This window comes from Homo sapiens, chromosome 1, assembly GCF_000001405.40.
Source record: "Homo sapiens chromosome 1, GRCh38.p14 Primary Assembly".
In the NCBI taxonomy this organism is placed as follows: domain Eukaryota; kingdom Metazoa; phylum Chordata; class Mammalia; order Primates; family Hominidae; genus Homo; species Homo sapiens.
In genome coordinates, this window is record NC_000001.11 from 155194680 (window position 1) to 155217426 (window position 22747).

General features: G+C 55.5%; 2 protein-coding genes, 1 long non-coding RNA gene, 1 other non-coding gene and 1 pseudogene across 43 annotated transcripts in view, besides 8 other annotated features; 3 read left to right on the forward strand and 2 right to left on the reverse strand.

Moving 5' to 3' along the window:
• Nucleotides 1-330: a silencer, noted in NCBI's record as "silent region_1397". NCBI's record gives its function as "represses an Ori minimal core promoter by ATAC-STARR-seq in GM12878 lymphoblastoid cells {active_cell/tissue: GM12878}" and the evidence as "EXISTENCE:reporter gene assay evidence [ECO:0000049][PMID:35858748]".
• On the forward strand, nucleotides 318-10810 carry THBS3-AS1 (THBS3 antisense RNA 1). 5 transcript variants are annotated; one of them, NR_183237.1, is made up of 7 exons: nucleotides 318-693; nucleotides 2172-2338; nucleotides 3724-3939; nucleotides 5493-5632; nucleotides 6021-6147; nucleotides 8444-8592; nucleotides 10356-10810. It is a non-coding gene; the product is annotated as a THBS3 antisense RNA 1 (long non-coding RNA). The 5 variants fall into 5 exon arrangements; NR_183236.1 differs by having other exon boundaries at nucleotides 318-689; NR_183238.1 differs by lacking the exon at nucleotides 8444-8592 and having other exon boundaries at nucleotides 3665-3939.
• MIR92B (microRNA 92b) lies at nucleotides 498-593 on the forward strand. The gene has a single exon (NR_030281.1). It is a non-coding gene; the product is annotated as a microRNA 92b (primary transcript).
• Nucleotides 909-14499, reverse strand: THBS3 (thrombospondin 3). 34 transcript variants are annotated; one of them, NM_001407557.1, is made up of 24 exons: nucleotides 14227-14499; nucleotides 12038-12135; nucleotides 11521-11727; nucleotides 10381-10637; nucleotides 10176-10278; nucleotides 8834-8860; nucleotides 8544-8626; nucleotides 8407-8458; nucleotides 8133-8281; nucleotides 7582-7722; nucleotides 7278-7355; nucleotides 6738-6890; nucleotides 6415-6525; nucleotides 6218-6325; nucleotides 5772-5931; nucleotides 5316-5434; nucleotides 5125-5177; nucleotides 3730-3923; nucleotides 3363-3541; nucleotides 3201-3249; nucleotides 2784-2980; nucleotides 2362-2534; nucleotides 1308-1447; nucleotides 909-1220 (listed from the first exon to the last, which is right to left on the reverse strand). In NM_001407557.1, exons 3-24 carry the CDS (start codon nucleotides 11690-11692, stop codon nucleotides 1162-1164), a joined length of 2757 nt encoding a protein of 918 aa, NP_001394486.1. In that variant the 5' UTR covers nucleotides 11693-11727; nucleotides 12038-12135; nucleotides 14227-14499; the 3' UTR covers nucleotides 909-1161. The 34 variants fall into 34 exon arrangements, 30 of the variants coding, with proteins under 30 accessions (NP_001394486.1, NP_001394485.1, XP_011508233.1 ...); NR_176393.1 differs by lacking the exons at nucleotides 12038-12135; nucleotides 14227-14499 and adding an exon at nucleotides 13119-13218 and having other exon boundaries at nucleotides 3363-3582; NR_176392.1 differs by lacking the exons at nucleotides 12038-12135; nucleotides 14227-14499 and adding an exon at nucleotides 13119-13218 and having other exon boundaries at nucleotides 7278-7435.
• Nucleotides 1487-2322: an enhancer, noted in NCBI's record as "H3K27ac-H3K4me1 hESC enhancer chr1:155165957-155166792 (GRCh37/hg19 assembly coordinates)". NCBI's record gives its function as "activates a minimal SCP1, AML or CMV promoter by ChIP-STARR-seq in primed H9 embryonic stem cells {active_cell/tissue: H9 hESC(primed)}" and the evidence as "EXISTENCE:reporter gene assay evidence [ECO:0000049][PMID:30033119]".
• Nucleotides 2323-3158: an enhancer, noted in NCBI's record as "H3K27ac-H3K4me1 hESC enhancer chr1:155166793-155167628 (GRCh37/hg19 assembly coordinates)". NCBI's record gives its function as "activates a minimal SCP1, AML or CMV promoter by ChIP-STARR-seq in primed H9 embryonic stem cells {active_cell/tissue: H9 hESC(primed)}" and the evidence as "EXISTENCE:reporter gene assay evidence [ECO:0000049][PMID:30033119]".
• Nucleotides 12219-13002: an enhancer, noted in NCBI's record as "H3K4me1 hESC enhancer chr1:155176689-155177472 (GRCh37/hg19 assembly coordinates)". NCBI's record gives its function as "activates a minimal SCP1, AML or CMV promoter by ChIP-STARR-seq in primed H9 embryonic stem cells {active_cell/tissue: H9 hESC(primed)}" and the evidence as "EXISTENCE:reporter gene assay evidence [ECO:0000049][PMID:30033119]".
• MTX1 (metaxin 1) lies at nucleotides 14016-19160 on the forward strand. 2 transcript variants are annotated; one of them, NM_002455.5, is made up of 8 exons: nucleotides 14016-14653; nucleotides 15667-15736; nucleotides 15869-15948; nucleotides 17448-17540; nucleotides 17706-17888; nucleotides 18015-18091; nucleotides 18558-18712; nucleotides 18805-19144. In NM_002455.5, the coding sequence occupies exons 1-8, from the start codon at nucleotides 14126-14128 to the stop codon at nucleotides 19017-19019; spliced, it is 1401 nt and encodes a 466-aa protein (NP_002446.3). In that variant the 5' UTR covers nucleotides 14016-14125; the 3' UTR covers nucleotides 19020-19144. The 2 variants fall into 2 exon arrangements, with proteins under 2 accessions (NP_002446.3, NP_942584.2); NM_198883.3 differs by lacking the exon at nucleotides 17448-17540 and having other exon boundaries at nucleotides 14020-14653; nucleotides 18805-19160.
• Nucleotides 14366-14565: a silencer, noted in NCBI's record as "silent region_1398". NCBI's record gives its function as "represses an Ori minimal core promoter by ATAC-STARR-seq in GM12878 lymphoblastoid cells {active_cell/tissue: GM12878}" and the evidence as "EXISTENCE:reporter gene assay evidence [ECO:0000049][PMID:35858748]".
• Nucleotides 18333-20784: a non allelic homologous recombination region, noted in NCBI's record as "sub-region e', recombines with sub-region e within the GBA recombination region". NCBI's record gives the evidence for it as "EXISTENCE:nucleotide sequencing assay evidence [ECO:0000219][PMID:12587096]".
• Nucleotides 18333-22747: part of a biological region, named in NCBI's record as "GBAP1 recombination region", that runs on past the window's edge. NCBI's record gives its function as "recombination_partner: LOC106627981".
• Nucleotides 19146-22747, reverse strand: part of GBA1LP (glucosylceramidase beta 1 like, pseudogene) — a 13710-nt pseudogene continuing 10108 nt past the window's right edge. The window contains 8 exon segments of the transcript NR_002188.3: nucleotides 19146-19794; nucleotides 19889-20005; nucleotides 20375-20483; nucleotides 20884-20972; nucleotides 21083-21108; nucleotides 21705-21942; nucleotides 22178-22350; nucleotides 22561-22694. The product of NR_002188.3 is annotated as a glucosylceramidase beta 1 like, pseudogene (transcript).
• Nucleotides 21971-21986: a non allelic homologous recombination region, noted in NCBI's record as "sub-region d', recombines with sub-region d within the GBA recombination region". NCBI's record gives the evidence for it as "EXISTENCE:nucleotide sequencing assay evidence [ECO:0000219][PMID:11042032]".

Here is a 22747-nt window from a genome sequence, read left to right on the forward strand (position 1 = left end):
AGAGACCACAGCTCTCGCCCGCGCGCCGCGCGGCGCCCGAGGCGCAGCTTTGTGTGCGGCGAGACCCTGGGGCAGGCGCTGGGCGGGGTGGGGACATCTGACGTCAGCGCGCCCGGGAGCGCGGGCCGGGGAGGCGGGGAGCCCCCCAACTCGCAGGCCGGAGAAAACACGAGTAGCTAGGTGGGCGGCCCCAAACCTCAACTCCCGGCATTGCCAAGCAACAGCCATTCAGTTCGGTTGCTGGGACACGCGTCACCATGGCGACGGCTCCGCGCCGCGCAGTCTGAGTACTTAAAGAGCAAGCGCGCGCAACGCCCGGGCGTCGGAAAGCGGCCTTCTGGGACTCCGCAAACTCCCGTTCTCCCTCCCCCCTCCCCCTTGCCATTCCCTTTGCCTTCCGGGCGCCAAGTCTCTCTGGCCTCCAAGGTGAACCCAACTCCCCAGCGCGCCCCGGGTTCCCGGGTCGGGCCGGCTTCAGGCGGTGGGGAGCGGGATCCCGGGCCCCGGGCGGGCGGGAGGGACGGGACGCGGTGCAGTGTTGTTTTTTCCCCCGCCAATATTGCACTCGTCCCGGCCTCCGGCCCCCCCGGCCCCCCGGCCTCCCCGCTACCCCTAGCGGGGCAGCCCCCGCCCTCCTGGCTCTCCATCCCGGCGGATCTTTGATAGACTGGAGTGTCGCCGCTGCCACCGTGAGTAAGTGGGTCTGGGAGGACTTCGGGCATCCTCCCTCAGGCACCCTATCCTTCACTTAACTCCATCCAGCACCTCCCCCACCCGCATCCCCAAATCAGCCAAACTTCCCCTAGATCCCTAACTTCCACCCTCCCAGGCTTTCTCTTCTACTCGCCGATTCCTTCCACTTCCCCACCCTATCCCGGAAAATCCCTAAAATAAGCAGTTGCACTGGCTTAGAAAACAACCAAAACTTTATGGCAATGTGCTGTCATCTTTCCTGGGGTTAGTGCCTGAGTAATACCCCTTGAAAACTTCTCATCCCCTGAAGGGTGGGGTGACCACCCCTCTGGGACTGAACTCCTTTTGGGAGCCAGAGAAGGGTCTGTGGTTGGCTGAGGGGCTGTAGCTTAGACCTCAGGGTCTCCAGGATGGACCCCAAGGCCAAAGGGTCTAAAATTCTGAATTCTGAATCTGGTGGCCTCCTCCTCACACCCTTCCCTGGAGCAGCTGCCTCCGGAATGGCTCAAAGTCCTCAGGCACTGTGTCTGAAGAAGGGGAAATAAGTAAGGTCAGAGGATGTGGCTCTCCCACAAGGCATGAAGGATTAGGTTGATCTCAATCAGCCACCTCACCATTGCATCGATACTGGAGATTGGACCAAATTATGTTTTCTTGGGAGAAGCAGAATACACCAAGACGCCCCCCTCGCATGGATGTGTCAATGATCACCCCAGAATCCGCCACAAGCTGGGGTCCCTCATAGAGCTTCACCCTGTCCAGGATTCCAGGATAGGAGTATCCATTGGTGCTAGGGTGCCAGTGGGCACTGTGCCACCATGCCTGGGGCCTTGCTTTTCCCCAGCCCCCCTTGAGCTCACCAGGCCTGAGAGAGAAGGGAGGGAGGGAAAGGGAGGCAGGAAGGAGAGGGAAGGGGGGTGCTTTTCTCAGGCCTGGGGCCCCTAGCTCTTTGTCCAGCTCCTTTTGCATCTCAAAGCACCAGCCGCATTCCAAGCGAGGATTGGGTTGCCATGACAATAAGCACAATGGGCTGGGGGGTGAAGTCACCCGCTTCCCAGGCTCTAGTCCACCCCCTTTTATCCCCTGTCCTGGCACCCCACAGCCCCAGGCACCTTAAAGGGGAACCAACCCAGGTTCCTGGACTCTGGGCTCTTGGCCATGGAAAGTCCAGCCTCTAAGCAGACCCATTTCCCCTCCCTTCCTGTTCATCTCCACCAACTAGGGCTACTTGTTGGAGAGAAATGCAAAGTTGTGGACAAAGTGTTGAACCGAGGCCTGTGAAGTCAGGGCCTTGATTTTCTCTTCTGTAAATGATGATGCCTTCCAGGTCAGATGATCCCTATCCACGTTGATAAGACAGGTTCCAGGTCATACCAACTAAGGGACCAGATGTGATGTGCCCCTTCACAGATTGGCCTGGGTTTGGAGGCTTCTGGAGAACTGTAAAGGGCATCTAACCCAATGCCCTCATTTTACAGACGGGAAAATGGGTCATGGAGGAGTGACTTCACCAACATCACTCATAGGTGCTTGTGTCCGTGGTGAGAAGGGTGATGGAGAGAAGTGGCTGCAGTTCCCACCCATGGAGAGGTCACTGGTGAATCCCAGCTAAAGAGGAAGGACAGGCCCGGCCTGAGTCCCACAGGTGGGCTCAGCCCCTCTCCTTACCGAATGTAGCCAACTTGAGGCCGGTGCAGAAGCTGCCAGCGATAGGAGGTCTTGTCCCGCCAGCCCACATTTCGTGGGTCTGTCCACAGCAGTCGTACCTGATCAGGGGTGTGGCCAGTATGCCACAGGGCATTTCGGAGGTGCTCACCTGGGCCAGACACTGATGTCACTGCCTAGGAGACATTGGCAAAGACAGTGGGTCAACTGCAGAACTGGAGTGAGGGGAGACAACAGGTCGGTAAGTGCAGGTGGGAAAGGGATTCAAGGCGGTCATGAAAATGCCCTGGGGCCCCAGAGAGCCGGCCTCCAAGCCAGATGTCTGGGTAAGAGGGTTCCCAGTCAAGCAGTGGGGGAGGCCCTGGGGCTGCAGAGGAGAGCTTTGGGAAAGGGCCCTGGGTTGCGGAATCTGAGCAGCTGGGGACCTTGAGCTGCAGCCCGGGCTGGGCAACCGCCCGGAAGGGTGTAGCCTGCCAGTAGGTCTGCTCGGTCTGCTTCCACATGACTACGTAGAAGCGGCCACTGTCTTGATAACTGAAGAGAAAGCCTGCGTAGTCATCATCAGTCACTGTGTTCACATGGAAGGTGCCTTCAAAGTCCACACCATTGAAGGCCGTGTATCCTGGGGTGGGGGTGGGATAAAGGTCAGGGGCAGCAAAGCTACTGGCGGCCCATCATGGGGTAAAGTTGGGAAGGGATGCCTGCTATGTATGTGGCCAGCTTGTGCCACTGCCTTCTCTCTCGCCACTTTGCCCATTCTCCCTGTCTGTTTCCTCCCCTACCCTCTGCCCCTATAGGATTCCTCCATTTGGAAGTGATTGAACTGCATATCCCTTACATACCAACTGCCAAGCCAGGGTCACTGTTCATGGTCTGAACGATTTCCATGCCCTGGGGTTGTATAGTAAAGAAAAAGCTGTGATGCAGGTGTGCTATCCCTCCCAGGCCCCCCGTCCCAGTAGCCCTGTCTGATAGCACCTGCCCAGCCCACTGCCCCGAGTTACCTGGTTGAGCACAACCCAGTTTGGGTCAATCTGAGCATCACCCTCAGGATCCAGGACGACGGTCTGATAGGCCCGAAAATCCGTAAGCGTTACCTCTGCACTTTCAGGACACACATCCAGGGGGTCGACCACAGCATCATTGTCAAAGTCATCCTCACACACATCACCAACGCCATTGCCTGGGCAGAGTGAGGCTGGGTGCTCAGGAAGGCCCTGGCCACTGCCATTAGGCAACAATACCATCTGTTGGGCCTGCATTCCTGACATCTTTCCCCACCTTGCCCTTCCTCACTTCCCAACAGGGCTTGCTGCCTCCACCTGGGCAAAGGCAACACCAGTCTAACGTGCTCTGGGTCCGCAGGCTTACCATCTGAGTCCTTCTGATTGGGATTGGGTACCAGGCGGCAGTTATCGGGACCAGGAGGCACATAATCTGGGATGCCATCATTGTCATCATCCCCATCACACTCATCTCCAAGTCCATCGTTATCAGAGTCCAGCTGGGAGCTATTTGGCAGCTGTGGGCAGTTGTCCTTGGTGTCCTGATGCCCATCCCCATCGCTAATCAGAAGAACAGGTACCAAATAAAGGATTTAAAGGTACTCCTTGTCCTTCCCTTCGCTTCTGCCTGGGAGTCTCTGGAGCCTGCTCTCCATACAATCAGACCCCTGGCAGTCAGCCAGGTGAGGTGAAGGTCTGGCAGTAGGAATGGAGGGATGACTGTAAGAATAAATTCCTGCTGAATAGCAATAGAGAATTAAGGCTAAATCATAGAAGGAATTTAGAATATACTATGGCCTGGGCACAGTGGCTCATGCCTGTATTCCCAGTACTTTGGGAGGCCAAGGCGGGCAGATCACCTGAGGTCAGGAGTTCGAGACCAGCCTGGCCAACACGATGAAACCCTGTCTCTACTAAAAACACAAAAATTAGCTGAGCTTGGTAGCACGCGCCTGTAATCCCAGCTACTCGGGAGGCTGAGGCAGGAAAATCGCTTGAACCCTGGAGGTGGAGGTCGCAGTGAGCCGATATCACTGCACTCCAGCTTGAGTGACAGAGCAAGACTCCATCTCAAAAAAAAAAAGGAGGCCGGGCACGGTGGCTCACGCCTGTAATCCCAGCACTTTGGGAGGCTGAGGCAGGCAAATCACGAGATCAGGAGATCGAGACCATCCTGGTTAACACAGTGAAACCCCGTCTCTACTAAAAACACAAAAAATTAGCCGGGCGTGGTGGCAGGCGCCTGTAGTCCCAGCTACTTGGGAGGCTGAGGCAGAAGAATGGCGTGAACTCGGGAGGTGGAGCTTGCAGTGAGCCGAGATCATGCCACTGTACTCCAGCCTGGGCGACAGAGCAAGACTCCGTCTCAAAAAAAAAAAAAAAAGGATATACTAGAGGAAAGTAAAATATCCCCTATAAGACCTTGCATTTCGCTGGCACAGTGGCTCACACCTGTAATCACAGCACTTTGGGAGGCAGAGGCTGGCGGATCACCTGAGGTAAGGAGTTCGAGACCAGCCTGGCCAACATGGTGAAACCCTGTCTCTACTGAAAATACAAGAATTAGCTGGGCTTGGTAGCACATGCCTGTAATCCTAGCCACTCAGGGAGGTTGAGGCATGAGAATCACTTGACCCTGGGAGACGGAGGTTGCAGTGAGCCAAGATCGTGCCACTGTACTCCAGCCTAGGTGACAGAGCAAGACTCCGTCTCAGAAAGACAAAAAAAAGAAAGACCTTGCGTCTCTTGACCAAGACCTTACCTGTCTTCATTAGTATCACAGACATCCCCCACCAGGTCGCTGTCTGCATCTGTCTGAGAGAGAGGGACCTGTTCTCACCATCTCCTCTTGATAACTCTGAAGAGGGTGATCTGACCACTTTCCATCCAAAGGGCTGGGGCTTCATCCATCAGTACCCTCATCCCTCCCCTGTCCTTACCATCTCCCTGTACCTGGGTAGGATTGCTCATTTCAGGGCAGCTGTCGCAAGCATCTCCCACCCCGTCCTCATCCCTGTCTGTCTGTAGTGGGTTGGGGACTTTAGGGCAATTGTCCAATCCATTGGGGATGCCTAGAAGACATGGGTAGCACAAGGTTGTTACTAGAACATGCCATATTCTCTCTTCTAGGTTGGTGAAAGTCCCGAACTTTGTCTCCCCACCCAGAGGACAACTGGCCAGGAAATCTGCCTGTTTCTTGTCTCACCCTCTAGTCCACACTCTGCCTAACACTACGCCCTACCTCACATTCCTATTGACATCTGCTGCAGGTAATCTCTCCTCACCCAGGCCAACGTCCACAAGCCTGCCTCCCTATTTCACAGAGACTTCCTAGCTTCCCTGCTTCATCCCCACCTGATCCAAATTCTCACAGGTCCCCCAGCCACCCCTTCAGCCCCAGGCCTGCACCATCCCCATCCACGTCGTTGTCACAGGCATCTCCTTCCCCATTGCCATCTGTGTCCTTCTGGTCATTGTTGGGAACGTTGGGGCAATTGTCACAGGCATCACCAAATGAATCTGTATCTGAGTTCTGCTGGTCTTTGTTGGGGAACAGCCGGCAGTTGTCCTGGGCAGAGGGGTGGGAGGGGAAGGGTCAGGTCTCCCCTAAATCACTTGTCATCTTGCACCTACCTTGTCTCTGTATCCTTTTCTAAGATCACACCCTTGTGATGGACAAACTGCTCAGTACAGTCCCACCCACCCAGCCTCCTTGTCCTGGGCACGAGGTTTTTGCCTCCCTGATTTGGAGTATTTGGCCCTTACTAGAGAGCTGCCAGATGAGGTAAGTGAGGCACAGAGAGGACAGGAGGAGGGGAGAGGAGCTTCAAGGGGCAGGGCAGTCTGGGAGTCACCTCAACATTCTTGATCCCATCCCCATCAGCATCATCATCACACTGGTCCCCCACACCATCATTATCAGCATCTTCCTGCCCAGAGTTGGGTGTCAAAAGGCAGTTGTCCTAAAGTTCAGGGGAAGAGGATGGATGAGTTCTGGCCTGACCCAGCTTGGGCTCCCCACTACGCCCCCTTGCCCGCCTGCTCCCTGCACCTGTTTGCAGTGTTTGTTGTTGTCCATGCAGGGCAGTGCTTGGTCTGGGTAGCCATCGATGTCTGTGTCAGTCCCACACACGTTCCCATTCCCAGCCCAGCCCACGTTACACTAGGGCAACACAAAGGGTAGGAGCTAGCAGTTTGGTCTGGCTCCCCTCCTCCCTATATTTTCCCTGCTTCAGGTCCTATTCTCCCCACCAAACAGTTCCTGGGCCCAGGCCCACCTCTCTCCTATGAAGACCCCCAACCCAGGCCCTAAACATAGCCCTACTCCTTTCCCCAGACCCTCCCTTTTCCTTCCACGCCTGAAGCCTAGCTCACCTGGCAGGACACTGCACCATTGCGTTCAAAGAGACAGTGAGCATGGATGTGGCAGGGGCTGTGGGCTGGGCTGTGGCAGGTCCGGGCTGGGAGGCAGCCCTGGCTCTGGTTGCCCAGGAAACCCAGGCGGCAGGGACCACACTTGAAAGAGCCCTAAGAGTGGAGAGGCAGCATCTTAGGAAGGAGGGTGAGCCCACCAGGCACCCAGGACCAGCACTGCTCCACCTGCGGAGTGTGGGCTGGGCACTCAGTTATGCCAGGCATATCAGTATCTCCTTTAGGTTATCATGACAACCTTTCAGGGTGGATAACAGCCTCAGTTTTCAGATGAGGAAGCTGAGGCTCAGAAAAGTTAAATAACCTGCTAAAGAGCTAGCAAGAGGCAAACCAGTATTCCAAACCAAGTCCATGTGAACACCTAATCTGTGTAGTGCCCTGGGGAGGAGGAAAGGCAGCAGGAAATTTGAAGGTAAGAAGGGGCGGGGGTTGGGGTTTTACCATTCCCACCACCCCAGAATACACTCAGGATATTCAGCTCACCACAGTGTTGGTGCAGATGGAGTTTGGGTCACAGCCACCATTGTTGCCATCGTTGCATTCATCGATGTCATTGCAGACCTGAAGGGGCAGACTTTGGGTGGAACCAGACCTATGGTGGGTCTCCTCAGATACAGCAGAGGACACTGGTATGGCCTTATCTGTGAACATCAACATTAAGCCCAGACCCAAAGCCGATGCAAAGCCATCCATGTCCCATTCATCACAAGGGTCCCATGTCCAACCCAGAAGCCCCTGGCCTCTACAAGGCCAAGATCCCTTGTCCACACACACTACCCAGTCTGACCTGTTTGCTGGCCCGGGCATAGTCAATGCCCACACCAGACACCTGTGTGCCCTTGTACCCTCGAGGACAGGCCTCACAGTGGAAGCCGGGCATGGTGTTGATGCAGCTGGAGCCCGGGAAACAGGGGTCAGCGTGAGCACACTGGGGACCAGATGAGAAGGCAGAGGTCAGGCCGCCCTCTGGGAAACTCAGGTCCCTGCCTGTGATCCAGGAACCATTGCTCCAGGTCTCCCCTTTGTGCAGCTCTCCCCACACAACTGCCTTGTGCTCCTGGTCCCCACCCCACTTCCCTCGGGGTTCCCTCTCTCCCTCCCCATGCCACTGGTCACCATCTCAAGCCTCCCCTGCAGTTTCCCCAGCTCCTTCCCTGTATGGCCTTCAGTCTTTGCCCCAGGCCTTCTGTCTCTCCCATCTTGCATTTCTCTTGCCTCTGACCTCTCCTAAACTCCAGATTCCTCTCCTCCGGACCAGCATTTATCCCACCCTCTTGGGTGCCTCCTGACATCCTCACCCCAGTTTTCTGTACCCTTCTGGGCTCTGACCTCCCTCACCTCATTGATGTCACTGCAGTGGGTGCCGTTGCCCTGCAGGCCAGGGGGGCAGGGCCCACAGCGGTAGCCTGGGTACTCGTACACTTCCATGCAGTCCACACCTCGGAAGCAGGGATTGGGGCTGCAGTGGGAACGCTGCTCATGGAAGCCTGAGGGGTGGACACAGTCAGAGCTACCCGGTGGTCACTATTTAAGCCACCAGAAGGGAAAGCCAAAGCCATTGGGTGGGGAACGTGGCACGGTCATGTGGAGCCTCCCCTGCTCTCCCACTCACCGCACACCTGACACTCCATAATGGTGTTTCGGATCAGGGACATTTCCTTCACCTGGAGAAGGATGGGGAGGAGTCAGCACTTGACATCTGCCACCCTACCCCAGAATCAGTGCCACCCTTCGCCAGCCCACCCAAACCTGGTCTCGTATATCATCCCGCAGCTCCACCAGGATCTGGTTGAAGAGGGTGAGTTGGGTGACCAGCGCCTTGGTCTGCTCCCCTGTCGGGACCCAGGGTGTGAGGGGTTCAGTACTGGAGCACCAGTCCTGGGCCCTCCATGGGCAATAAGCCAGTACCTGCCACGGCTGCCCACCCCTGCCTTTAAACCTACTACATTCCTGACTGAAGAGGACTTAGTTTCAGGCAGCTGCCAGAGCCTGGGGCCTCCTCCCCGCTCCCCGCTTCCGCTTCAGTGTGGCCTACTCACCTAGAATGGAGTGCAGTGCATTGGTCACTGGAGAGGAGAAGAAAACATAGTCAGAGGGGTGAGGTGAAGTGAAGAGAGGCCTGGTTGGTGAGAAGGAGGAAGGAAGGTGAGGACAGGGACAGGGCTGGAGCCCCAGAATAAAGATGGGGTGCTGGATGCTGGGAGGGCAGAGCTGGCAGACAAGCAGTGCCAGCTCCTTCTATGGGGCAAAAGGCCCTCTAAGGGAGTTGCTTCACAGGAAGTTAGAACCCAAATCCTCCTGGTTCCTAGGCATGGTAGTGGCAGAAGGGATGGACCCAAAGCAGGGCCAGGGCCCCAGTATATCCCCATTTTTTTTTTTTTTGAGTCGGAGTCTTGCTCTGTTTCCCAGGCTGGAATGCAGTGGCGTGATCTCTGCTCACCACAACCTCCACCTCCTGGGTTCAAGCAACTCTCCTGCCTCCGCCTCCCAAGTAGCTGGGACTACAGGTGCCCACCACCATGCCCAGCTAATTTTTTGTATTTTTTAGTAGAGAGGAGGTTTCACAGTGTTGGCCAGGCTGGTCTTGAACTCCGGACCTTGAGGGATCAGCCCACCTCAGCCTCCCAAAGTGCTGGGATTACAGGTGTGAGCCACCACACCCGCCATCCCATTCCCTTCTTCAAGAGCTCTCCCTCAAATATCTGGGAAAGGTGGGTCTTTTATTTAGGTGAGAGCTTCTGAACATCCCTGTCAGAGAGACCAGGCAGATGGGCAACACTCAGAGAAATTGCTGGTGACAGCTGCCAGTGAGAACTATAAAAGACTCGAGACCAGGCCGGGCGCGGTGGCTTACGCCTGTAATCCCAGCACTTTGAGAGGCCGAGGTGGGTGCATCACTTGAGATTAGGTGTTTGAGACCAGCCTGGCCAACGTGGTGAAATCCCATCTCTACTAAAAATGCAAAAATTAGCTAGGCATGGTGGAGGGCGCCTGTAATCCCAGCTGCTTGGGAGGCTGAGGCAGGAGAATCACTTGAACTCAGTGGAGACTGCAGTGACCCAGATTGCACCACTGCACTCCGGCCTGGGCAACAGGACAAGACTCCATCACCAAAAAAAAAAAAAATACTCGAGACCAGTATCTCTTGGTCAGCCAAGGCCAAGCAATTAACCAATTCTTCTCTTAGATCACTTTTTTTCTCGGATGGGTGTATTGGAGATTGTGGAGTCAGGTGAAAGATTTGGAATAACAGGGTTAGAAACCCTAGGAACAGGTGAGCCAAAGGAATGGGTTTTAAGGGAGAGGGAGATCAAGAAGACAGGAGTCACCAAAGGCCACAGGATCCGTGGTCCAATGTCAGCAAACAAGTCTCTGTGTTACCTGCACTGTGGATGGACTCGTCCCCTTGGAATGGACACTCACTCAGGGCTCCTACCCGGGCCATGGACCCACCCAGAATAATTTTCATAGATTCCACAAAGCCCTGGGGGGATAGCAGCAGAGTAAGGTGGGAAGGTCTACCAACCCCTTCCCCAGCTGGTGCAAACTCTATTTCCACAGAACTCAGAGGCTCCTCCCGGCTCACCTGCATCCTCAAATACGCCTTCTGTCCAGTCCTAATCTCCAGCCCATCGACCTCCGCTGGAGGAATGGGGGCCAGTGCTGGAAGGCCTGCATGTTGGTCACCCAGTTTGCAGTCCACGTAGAGATGTAGGGCAGGGCTGGGTCTGGAGGGACCTCGGAGTCGCAGGAGAACTGTGTGTGTGCGCCCATCAGCCAGGCCCGCTTGCTGTAGGTTCACGGCGTGGACTTTGCCATCCTCCCGCTGGTATCGCACCAGTACTGCCCAGGAGGGGAGATCAGTATGGGCGCTATCCCCCACCCCCTGCCTCCCAGCTGAGCCTTGGATCAACTCTGCTAGATACCACATCTCTAGGGCCCCTATCCCTAATTCTACTATGTGGCTCTCAACACCTTGTATTTAATAGGTACACAATAAATGTTTTTGAAATTGCTTTAGAGGCCAGGCACGGTGGCTCACACCTGTAATCCCAGCACTTTAGAAGGCCAAGGTGGGCAGATCACTTGAGGTCAGAAGTTCGAGAACAGCCTGGTCAACATGGCGAAACCCTGTTTCTACTAAAAATACAAAAGTTAGCCAGGCATGGTGGTGGGCACCTGTAGTCCCAGCTACTCAGGAGGCTGAGATAGGAGAATTGCTTGAACCCAGGAGGCAGAGGTTGCAGTGAGCTGAGATTGTACCACTGCACTCCAGCCTAGGTGACAAAGCAAGACTCCATTTAAAAAAATAATTGGTTTAGAGACAAATACTTTCTTAGTCTTCATTGGTATCAGATGACTGTATCCTCTCCTAGGGTGACAGCTGGTTTTGTGGCCACTGACCTGTTCCAGGGATCTGAAAGACCTTTCTGTATCACCGCTGAGGCACAGAGACATGCCTCACCCTCCTTCCAGGCATCCCCAAGTACAACCTCCCATCCCTATAAATATCAGGACTCAAGCCTCACCCTATTGTTTGGTACATGGGCTCCTAAAGCACCTTATAAGCACCCCATACCAGGTGCCCCTGATGTCTGGGCACAGCCTGATGGGACCTTGGTCCCTAGTGGAGGCCAAGGAGAATGAGGAAGCACTTGGGAAGTAGGGATGAGGGAGAGTGCTTAAGGAGGTCACCATTGCAAGAAAGGAGATGCCCACCAGTCACCTTTGTTGATCTTGCCTACAACAGAGGCCTCCAGCCATCGAGTGTTGTCTTGGCGAGAATAGAGGCCAAAGAGGACACCACCCTGCTTGGGGGGCAGGCGGAAGGTGGATAAGAGGTAGATGTCCCCAGCAGTGAGCAAGGCTGTCCGGATCTTCTCTGCCACAGCTACCATCTGCCGAGACTCGCCCACAGTCAGCAGGTCAATTACTGGTCAGGCAGGGGTTATCAAGGTTAGAGAATGGGATCAAATGCTAAGGTATGCCCTCCCCCGAGCCCACATCACCCCCTACCCCCACCACCAGGCAGCGTTAGTCACCTCAAAATTCAACCCTTGGCTGGGCATGGTGGCTCGCACCTGTAATCCCAACACCTTGGGAGGTTGAGGCAGGTGGATCGCCTAAGGTCAGGAGTTCGAGACCAGCCTGGCCAACACGGTGAAACCCCGTGTCTACTAAAAATACAAAAACAACAACAAAAAAGAAAAAAAAACCACCTAGCCGGGCGTGGTGGCGGGCACCTGTAATCCCAGCTACTCAGGAGGCTGAGGCAGGAGACTCGCTTGAACCTGAGAGGTGGAGGTTGCAGTGAGCCGAGATCGCGCCATTGCACTCCAGCCTGGGCAACAAGAGTGAAACTCCATCTCAAAAAGACAAAACGAAAACAAAAAAAAACCTCAACCCTTGTTGCTCTCAGAGGACAGAGGCACTGTGCCTTCCTTTCCCCATTATTGCCTATTACTACCTTCCAGGAACCTGCAGGTTTGAGACTCACTTGGAAACACAGAAACAGCACCCCACAAATTTGAGATGCCCCCACCAGGTGGCGCAAAGGAGATGCTGTGCTGATCCCCCACAGGAGTGGCACCTGGTGTCCACAACGTAGAAATGGAAGGCAGCTTCTCTTTCCACTCCTGGGTTTGGCTCGTTCCACACCCTAGTTCCCCTCCTCCCATCCTAGGGGCGCAGCACACTCGCTCTGGATAAGAACAGCTGCCCACTGAGGACTCTAACCCTCCCACCATCTGGGCTATCTCCCACGGGAATGTAGGACCCAGCTCCTCTGCCTCCTGTGTCCTGGCCAATCTGTGGTTTTCCCTCCAGCCAGTAAAGAATCTATGCCTGTGTCATCTGCTCCAGCTACCTCTCCCACATCCATCGGCCCATCCCACCACCAGACCTCCGGGAGAGCCCAGGCTTCTTGGTCCCCACCCCCGCCCTGTCCTTGGGCAGCCAGGAGCCCAGGGGGACGAAGCCCAGGGACCTACAGTACGCCCACCTTCAGGCTGCTCTCCCAGACCCTAGGGTGCCTACAGATGCTCAGGAACCACCCCAGCCAGGCAGCCTGAGCATCCAGTTCCTGAGTCCTCTGCCCTGGCCTCATGCCTGACCCTGTCCTGTTCCAGCTCCCCCACTACTCTCCGGTGCCCACTCCTCTCCACCAGGCCATAATTTCACCAACTCTAGGCAGTCTTAAGTTTTCCTCTGGCTCAATTTCTGGACTCTTCCCCTCTCCCCTTGCCCACATGTTCTCTGCTACTTGGGCTGAGGGCAAATGGGGAAGAAGCAGAGAGCGGTCTAAGAGGATGGAGACAGGCTTACCCTGCAGATCCTGACTGGCAGATGTGAAAAAGCAAAGGAGGAGAAGAGCCAGGGCCCCCCGAAGTTCCTGCGTCTCCATGCCTCTCAGCCGGCTCACTACCCCTGGCAGGCAGGCAGCTGGGAGGGGAAAAGGCTAGGCGGAGAGAGCAGGAGCCGGGGGGCGGAGGGACAGAATTGGAGGGGGGGCCAGCAGGCGGGTGAGGGGGGGCTGAAACAAAGAGCTGCCAATCACCCTGGAGGCATCATCAGCTCTGGGAACCAGGGGCACTGGGAAAGAATCCTGGAGGCCTCCCTGCTTTCTACCTCTCCCTAATGATCCTCCCCCAGGTGCCTCCCTCTCCGCAGTCATCATTGTTGGGGGTCTCGGCACACAGCGCTACCGAATGCCACTGTTTTCTGGAAGCCACGATTGTGGAAGGCAAGAACCCCTGGCAGGGGCAGTGCTAGACAGTGGGCATTATTCCACAGCTGGCAGGAAAGGATGCCAAGGGAGTGGCCGCAACTAGCTTGCTATAGTGCCCAGGGATGCCCACATGGCATGAATTTTGCTGTTCTGGCGGAGCAAGTGCTCTTTATTAGGGTGGGGGGTCCCCTGACAAGTGCCTGTTTCTCCATTTTCCCTCATTCGTAGGAAAGCTTGGGAGTCTGGAAGCGTCTGACGGGAACTGAAGGGAGAATCTAAAGCAGTGGTCAGTGAGGTCAGAGTGAAGAAACCAAAAAAGAGGAAAGGGACACCAGGGACAGGCGCAGAAGACCAGGGGTACAGGCGAGGAGCCAAGGACCAGACTGTGGAACACTGTGGGTACTAGCGGACGGGCCGTGACCCGGATGAAGCAGAGGGGCGCCTGAGTTCCCGTCACCTAAGCGACAGCCTGCGAGCCTCTCTTCCCCTCCCCCACCCAAGCCCCAGCCCGGCCTCCGCTCCGGCCGCCGCCACCGCCCCTGTTTTGTTTCCATGGCGACAGGCGGCGCAGGGCCCGCTCCAAACATAACGCGCTGTGGAAAACATGCTGCTCGGGGGACCCCCCCGCAGTCCCCGCTCGGGGACGAGCCCCAAGGGGCCCTGGAGCAGTACAGGCCACGTGCAGTTTGGCAAGAGCCCCCAGACCTGGCCCAGGCGCACAAGACCCCGCTCTCCAGAGCCTGCCGCGCCTTCAGGGGTTCGGGGCTCCACTTGGACGAGGCGCCGTGACTCTCCGAGGCGCGCCGGGCCGACAGCGCTGTCCCGCTACGTGGGCCACCTCTGGATGGGCCGGCGGCCGCCCTCCCCCGAGGCCCGCGGCCCAGTCCCCCGCAGTTCAGCTGCCAGTCGGGCCAGAAGAAGCCTCGCCTCCCCGGGGATCTCCCCAGGCCCCCTGACCGCAACGATCGGAGGGGCGGTGGCGGGGGGCGGGCCCAGGCAGGGGAGGGCAGAAGCACACAAGGAAGTGTTTCCGGGACAGAGGGTGGGCAAGATGGCGGCGCCCATGGAGCTGTTCTGCTGGTCAGGGGGCTGGGGGCTGCCGTCAGTGGACCTGGACAGCCTGGCCGTGCTGGTGAGGGGTGGCGCCGGCGCCCTCTGCTGTGCCCTGATGACTGGGGAGGGGGCCGAACTAGCCAAGCATCCAAACCTTGCCAGGGCTACTCAGCACGGGCGCAGTGGGGGAAACTGAGGCAGTCAAAGAGCGTACGTGGCCGATATGGCCTCAGTGCCCTATGCTGTAGTTTTCTAGGCTTAATGCAGCAATGAAAAGACGCCTGGTTGGGAGTTCAGGTGATGGGTTCTAGTCCTTGCTCATCCATTCACTGGCTGTGTGACCTTGCGGAGATCCTTTCTCTTTGGGCATTTTTTTTCTCCATTCGGAGGTTTACTAGGCTGGACTGTCTCAGGGACCTACTCTAGCTTGGAATTCCTGCCTTCTCCTCAGCCCCCTTCTCCTCTTCCTCCTCACTTAACAGCATTTACTGAGGCTATTGTTTGTTAGACCAAACGACTCACAGCCAGGCTTTGTATAAAGAGCTTAGCAATCAGACTTCCTTTGCTTCATTTATTCATTGACTCCTTGCTTTAAAGAGGATCTATTAGATTTCTTCCAAATATTAAACATTGCCAGGCAAAGATGAATAAAATTTGGTTCCTCCCTTCGAGTTTACAGAAAGGCAGATAGGTAAGCAAATAAATATAATAAAATATTCACATATAAGTTAAAGTAGGAACAGACCACAGATACTGCCAAAGAGAAGGGCATTATCAGTGCTTCCAAGAAGAGGGATACTGGTTAGGAAAAGCTTCTGAGGATAGATGTTCACCAGGTAGATGGCAAGAGAGGAGATAGAGGAAAGGATTTTCCTGGCTGTCCTGTAATCACAGACATGTCCGGAATCTCTCTGAGCCCTGTGTTGTCCATTTGTAAAATAGAAATGGTAGTGACTCCCCCTTTTTTTTCGAGACTAAGATACTAAGTATAGGGAATGGCACATAAGGTATTCAATAAATGTTATTTCTCTTCTTGATACCACTGTGGGGGACATGGCTCTGCCTCTCTGACTTCTGCTTCCTTCCCTGCAGACCTATGCCAGATTTACTGGTGCTCCACTGAAGGTACACAAGATCAGCAACCCCTGGCAGAGCCCTTCAGGTACCCAGTATCCCTTGGGGGTAAGGAAGGGTGTGTACAAGGGGAGAAGCAAGAAATAGGCAGGAATGTGTTGCAACTATGTATGACTAGGCAGCTAAGGGTCTGGTTGGTATACTTCCCTCTCAATATCAGGAACTCTGCCTGCCCTTCGGACCAGTCATGGAGAGGTCATCTCAGTTCCACACAAGATCATCACCCACCTTCGAAAAGAGGTAGGTGACTTGGATAGAGGGGGCTGCCAGTGAGAGAAGTTCAGTCAATTCTATACAATACACATTTATTGAGCACCAGATATATGCCATGCTAGATGCAGGTGACCCAGAGCATCAAGGAGCAACAGTCTTGTGGCAGAGACACACACAATGTCACTGTGATGTATTAAAGCAGTCGGCAAGAGATGAAACTTAGGGCACTGTGAGGCAGGGAGGGAGAGGAGCACAGGCTGAAGGAGAGTGGAAGACAGCAGTTGGCCTCTGATGGTGGGACTGGAGAGAGATTTCTAAGGGCCACTTCCTGTTTTCAGGGACTAGGTTGGGCTAGATATGGGGCTCAGGATGGACAAGGCTTAGAGCCAGGTTGGAGAAGATGAAAGAGCATTACTAGAGGAGTGGGGAGGCCTAGGCTATGCTCTTTACTCTGCCATTGACTATGTGATCTCGGGCAGGCCATGTAACCTCTCAGGGCTGTGCACTCCCTTATTTGTAAAACTAGAGGGCTGGGCCAGCATGTTTTCCAAGGGTTCTTCTAGCATTGACGGTCAGGTTCCAAGAGGGAACAGTGTCAGAAGTAGGACACTCTTCCTCATTTCTAACTTCCCAAAGGTTGAGGACCTGGGGAATTAATTGAGAGGCCTGGAAAGAGAGGATCCAGATAAAAGCCAAAGTTCCTGGCAGAGCCGAGGCCACTGCCCTGATTGCTTAGGTGTGAACAGAGCTTTTCCAGTTTCCAAAGTATTCTAAATTATTTCCTAACACAGGGGCATTCAGAGAAAGAGATTCTTACCCCCATTCCACAGGGGAGAAACTGAGGCTTAGGGAGATTTAAGGATCATGCTGAAGAGGTTATCTGGGGACAAAGCTTACTCAGGATGTGGAGGGGGATGCTGAGGAACAGGGACTGGAGCCTGGGAAGGTAGGGCAGGCTGAGACCTGGGGGTATGGGTGGAATGTGTATGTGGTAATGGTGTCTGAGCGATGGAATGAAGTGAAAGAAATAGCCAAGAGCTGGGCACTGAGGGAACAAGCTGGGGGGCCCTGGGCGTGGGTTCCCTGGATCCAGGGAGTGTGAGGATGGCTTTCTCTGGTTCCTGAGGCATGGACCGAGTCCTAGCCTGCATCTGAGCTCCGTTGTGCTAGCTTTGTGGTGTCTGGGTCGGGGAAGTTACTGTTAGAAAGTTGCCGTCAGCGGGCGTTGTTCCAGCTTTCCATGGAAATTCTGGGAGCTGCTCCTAGTTTGCGGCGGAGCCTTCCTTCCTTCCCTGCATTGGGCGCTGGACCTTCACGGCCAGGAGGCTCCAAGGCCCAGGCTTTTCGCCAACAGCAACAGGCTACTGGCTGGGCCCAGGCAAGGGGGCCTTGGCAGGAAAAGTTCCTTGCTGTACCTCCACTGCACTCAGAGGCCAGTGAGGGGGGTACCAGACAGGACTCCTTCCTCCCTGGTGAAGTGCCCTTGCAGCTCCCTAGTGTCCACGCCATGGATATTTCCTCCACAGAAGTACAATGCTGATTATGATCTGTCAGCTCGGCAAGGGGCAGACACCCTGGCCTTCATGTCTCTCCTGGAGGAGAAGTTGCTCCCGGTGCTGGTGAGTGTGCCCAGACCTCCCAGCATCCATGGCCAGCCGGGGAGGGTTCGGGAACACACAGACCCACACACAGGCTCAGGAAAGCATGGGGGTCAGAAGCCCACCTTGAATCAGACAGGTGCACTGGCTCAGACCTACCTGTTTCTTCCTGCCCACCCAATCCAGGTACATACTTTTTGGATAGACACCAAGAACTACGTGGAAGTGACCCGGAAGTGGTATGCAGAGGCTATGCCCTTTCCCCTCAACTTCTTCCTGCCTGGCCGCATGCAGCGGCAGTACATGGAACGGCTACAGCTGCTGACTGGGGAGCACAGGCCTGAGGACGAGGAAGAGCTGGAGAAGGAGGTAGCTCTGAGACCGGGGGCTATTGTATGAGATGAGCCCCAAGGATGCTGGCCAGGAATGGGAGTGCTTAGGTGGGGAGGTGGCACTGTTCCCACAGCTGCAAGCCTACCTGTGTCGCCCCTACAGCTGTACCGAGAGGCTCGGGAGTGTCTGACCCTGCTCTCTCAGCGCCTGGGCTCTCAAAAGTTCTTCTTTGGAGATGCGTGAGTCTGACTCCAAGAGGGTAATGGGTGGCTTGGAAGAAGATACAGGTTCAGATGGAGCAGCTGGAGCTGGGGCTGGGGCTGGGGCTGGCTCAGGCTCTGGATAGGAGGTCCCTGGGATAGAAACTGGCCCTAGTGACAGTGTGACTGTGTGGGGGCCAGAGCCTTCTCAGAGGTACAAAAGGGTAGGGTGGGAGGGCAGCCAGGCACAGGAGGGGCCTGAAGAGCTGTGGGGCACTGAATGTGCCCTTTATGCAGCCCTGGGATAGAGCCCTATTCAGGGCCAGGCTGGCGCCACCTGGGGATCTCTCCCCATACCAGGTCTAGAACTGTGTGTCCTGTCCTTCCCTGGTGGCCGCCTGCTGCCCAGAGCCCACCTCCCAAGGCTGACTCTTCCTCCAGCTCCATCTTTACCCCTTCTACCCCAGTGGTTCTCCTCCATCCCACCCTTCTCTCTCTGCTCCAGCCCTGCCTCCTTGGACGCCTTCGTCTTCAGCTACTTGGCCCTGCTGCTGCAGGCAAAGCTGCCCAGTGGGAAGCTGCAGGTCCACCTGCGTGGGCTGCACAACCTCTGTGCCTATTGTACCCACATTCTCAGTCTCTACTTCCCCTGGGATGGAGGTAAGGGGCAGATGGGAGGGGCAGCCCTGGGGAGAGTGGGCAGGGATCCAAGAACTAGTTCTCCTAACACACCTTCCTTCCTTGACCCTCAGCTGAGGTACCACCGCAACGCCAGACACCAGCAGGCCCAGAGACTGAGGAGGAGCCATACCGGCGCCGGAACCAGATCCTATCTGTGCTGGCAGGACTGGCAGCCATGGTGGGCTACGCCTTGCTCAGCGGCATTGTCTCCATCCAGCGGGCAACGCCTGCTCGGGCCCCAGGCACCCGGACCCTGGGCATGGCTGAGGAGGATGAAGAGGAATGATTTGTCCTCACGCTCCCAAGACTGGTTTTTCTACTCTCATGCATTCCAGAGGCCCCCGTGCCTCCTCGTTGTTGGTACAGCCGGACACGGGGTGCTGCCACCCAGAATAAAGCCACTCACACTGACTGGGCTCAAACATTTTCTCCTTTAAGAGCTGCCATTTTTCCTGGCTGGTGCCATAGGAATCATCTGGGTGCCTGGGCACACCCGCTGCTGCTTTAAGGCTTCCGCCCTGATGCTGACACTGCTGCTCCACGGGCCCAGTTCTGCATCTCCAGGAAAGACAAACAGTCTCCAGTTTTGGGCCCAGCTTTCCTAGTCTCTTCTTTTCCTTACCCTCAGCCCTGATCTTGTGTTTGTACGGACAGTGAGCTCACCCTAGGCCTGGACCCAGGCCCAGTTTCCAAAGCAAGCAGCACACAGCGCATGTTCACATAAGCATGGGGGCTGGGGGGACACTGGGGCTTACTGATCTTTTTCTAGGGGCCTCCAGCCCCTGGCACCACCTAGAGGGGAAAGTGAGTCACCCAAACCATTGCCCCTGGGCTTACGTCGCTGTAAGCTCACACTGGCCCTGCTGTGCCCTCTTTAGTCACAGACAGCGTGTGAGCTGACTCTGTCCCTTTAATGCCCAGGCTGAGCCCAGTGCCTCCTTGAGTATCTGCTCCATCACTGGCGACGCCACAGGTAGGTGTGAATGGAGTAGCCAGGTGAGATTGTCTCCAGGAAGCCCACAGCAGGATCCTTGATGGTAAGAGGCACATCCTTAGAGGAGCTAGGGAGCAGGGAGGAGAAGCTGAGAGTGTGATCCTGCCAAGGCCCCCAACGCTGTCTTCAGCCCACTTCCCAGACCTCACCATTGCCCTCACCGGTTTAGCACGACCACAACAGCAGAGCCATCGGGATGCATCAGTGCCACTGCGTCCGGGTCGTTCTTCTGACTGGCAACCAGCCCCACTCTCTGGGAGCCCTCAGGAATGAACTTGCTGAATGTGGGAACAGATGGTCAGAGTCCCTCGGGGTACCTCCCATGAAACCCTCATCTAAGAAGTCGCCCACCCACGGACCCACCCCATAACTCCTGCAAAGGCTCTGCCCTGGCTCTCTAGGCCTGGAGCCATGCTGCTGGGCACTGACCCTGCTTTTCTGCATCGCAGTCCAGCCTCAGGCATTGGGGTTTTCTGTTGCTACCTAGTCACTTCCTGCCTCCATGGCGCAAAAGGGGATGGGTGTGCCTCTTCCGAGGTTCCACCCTGAACACCTTCCTGCTCCCTCGTGGTGTAGAGTGATGTAAGCCATCCGATGTAGGAGATGATAGGCCTGGTATGGAATGGGGGTGCCCGCCCTCCACTCACCTGAAGTGGCCAAGGTGGTAGAACATGGGCTGTTTGTAAAACGTGTGCTTGGTGATGTCTACAATGATGGGTTCCAGTCGGTCCAGCCGACCACATGGTACAGGAGGTTCTAGGGTAAGGACAAAGGCAAGGAGACAAAGGCGCAACACTGGGGGTCCCCAGAGAGTGTAGGTAAGGGTCACGTGTGGGAGAGGCAGCTGTGGGTAGGTCAGCCCTGTGAGGGGCACATTCCTTAGTAGCTAAGGAGTTGGGGGTGTGAAGATCCAGGCATCTCAAGGGGAGCTGAGAAGTCTGAGGCAGCTGCAAGTGCCTCAGTAGTTGCAAAAGGGGCAATGAGGTGTGCAGACCTGTGAAGGAAAGGCAAGACAGGGAATCATGGTTCCCCAGAGTTGCCCAAAAGGGCAGGCTACCTGGGGAAAGCTGGACAGGAAGGGCTTCTATCAGTCTTTGGTGAGACTACTAATGGGTCTGAGGTCTCCTTTGCAGGAAGGGAGACTGGGGTGGCTTACTGTGATGATGCTGTGGCTGTACTGCATCCCTCGATCCCAGGAGCCTAGCCGCACACTCTGCTCCCAGAACTTGGAACCCACACAGGCCTCTGAGGCAAAGAGCATGGTGTTGGGGAACAGGTGGTGTGTCTCCCTTAGGGTGGCTTTGGCTGGAGCCAGAAAGTCCAGGTACCAATGTACAGCAATACCATGAACATACTTAGCTGCTTCTGGGTCTGTCAGTACCTGCAAAGGAAGAACAAGTCACCCTGGACCCTGCCCACAGGCTTCTGGAACTTCTAGTTCCTCTTGTAGGAATCCTGAATTAGGTGGTGGGAAGAATGCAACTACAGAGGTTTTGGGAGGGATTTTTTGTTTTTGTTTTTGAGACAGGGTCTCCCTCTGTCACACAGGCTGGAGTACAGTGGCACAATCATAGCTCACTGCAGCCTGAAATTCTAGGCTCAACTAAACCTCCCGCCTTAGCCTCCAGAATACTTGGGACTATAGGCGTGCCACCACCACACCCGGCTAACTTTTCTATTTTTTTTTTTGTAGAGTTAGGGTTTCACCATGTTTCCCAGGCTCATCTTGAACTCCTTAGGTTCAAGTGATCCACCCACCTTGGGTTCCCAAAGTGCTGGAATTATAGCCATGAGCTACCACCCCCAGCCTAGAGAGGTTTCAAGTCCCAACTGTGGGATCCATGGCACCCTGGAGGTCCCGGGGAATGGTGCTCTAGGATCCATAGTTGGGTAGAAAAATCCCTCTAAGTTTGGGAGCCAATCATTTGGATGCTGGATTTGAAGGTCACTGGAGCACCATGGAGGTCCAGGCCTTACCACCTTTGCCCAGTGGGGCAGCAGCAAGCGTTGGTCATCCAGCATGAGTAGGCGGACATTGTGGTGAGTACCGTTGGCAAGGGTAGGACCTAGGTCACGGGCAATGAAGTCTCGCTGATGTTCAGGGGTGAAGCCCAGGCACTGGAAGGGGTATCCACTCAACAGCCCAGCAGAAGGCTCATTTTCAGCTGTCACTGCCCAGAACTGTAACTTGTGCTCAGCATAGGCATCCAGGAACCTGGCAAGAGAAAGGTCATGAATGATCCAGCCAAGAAAGTGGGCCAGACCGAGAGAACAGGAAGCCTGATGGAGTGGGCAAGACTGACAGATCCAAGTTTGAAAGGCCCAGAAGGTAGAAAGGTGAGCTGAGGACAGGCAGATCTGGAAGTGGAACCAGGTTGAGGGTTGGGACACAGATCAGCATGGCCAAAGGGGAGGCCAGTCCTGATCCCACATCCTTGCTGATCCCTTACTTCACAATGTATCTGGCCCAGGTCTGGTGGTAGATGTCTCTGGGCTGTCCCTTGAGTGGCCCCTTCCCATTCCCCGCTCCCCTGGTCTTGAGCCGAGTGGGTGATGTCCAGGGGCTGGCAAGGAGTGAAACGGGACGCTGGGCCAACTGCAGGGCTCGGTGAATCAGGGGTATCTAGAGACAAAGGTAGTGAAGAGAGAAGCACCCAGAGTTGGAACACATACTAGCCCAACCAGTGCATCCGGTTCAGCCATTAGCCCCCACCCTCCCACCCCCAGGACAAAACAGCAGGGGACAAAATGTCTGTACAAGCAGACCTACCCTACAGTTTCTCAACCCCCAGACATCAGGGCCCTCAGGGCCTGAAAAAGCTAGAATGCCTACCTTGAGCTTGGTATCTTCCTCTGGGAGGCTGAAGTTGTGCAACTGGAAATCATCAGGGGTGTCTGCATAGGTGTAGGTGCGGATGGAGAAGTCACAGCTGGCCATGGGTACCCAGATGATGTTATATCCGATTCCTACAGAAAAGGATGATCAAGATATGGTAGTCCGAGTCAATAGGAGAGTATGG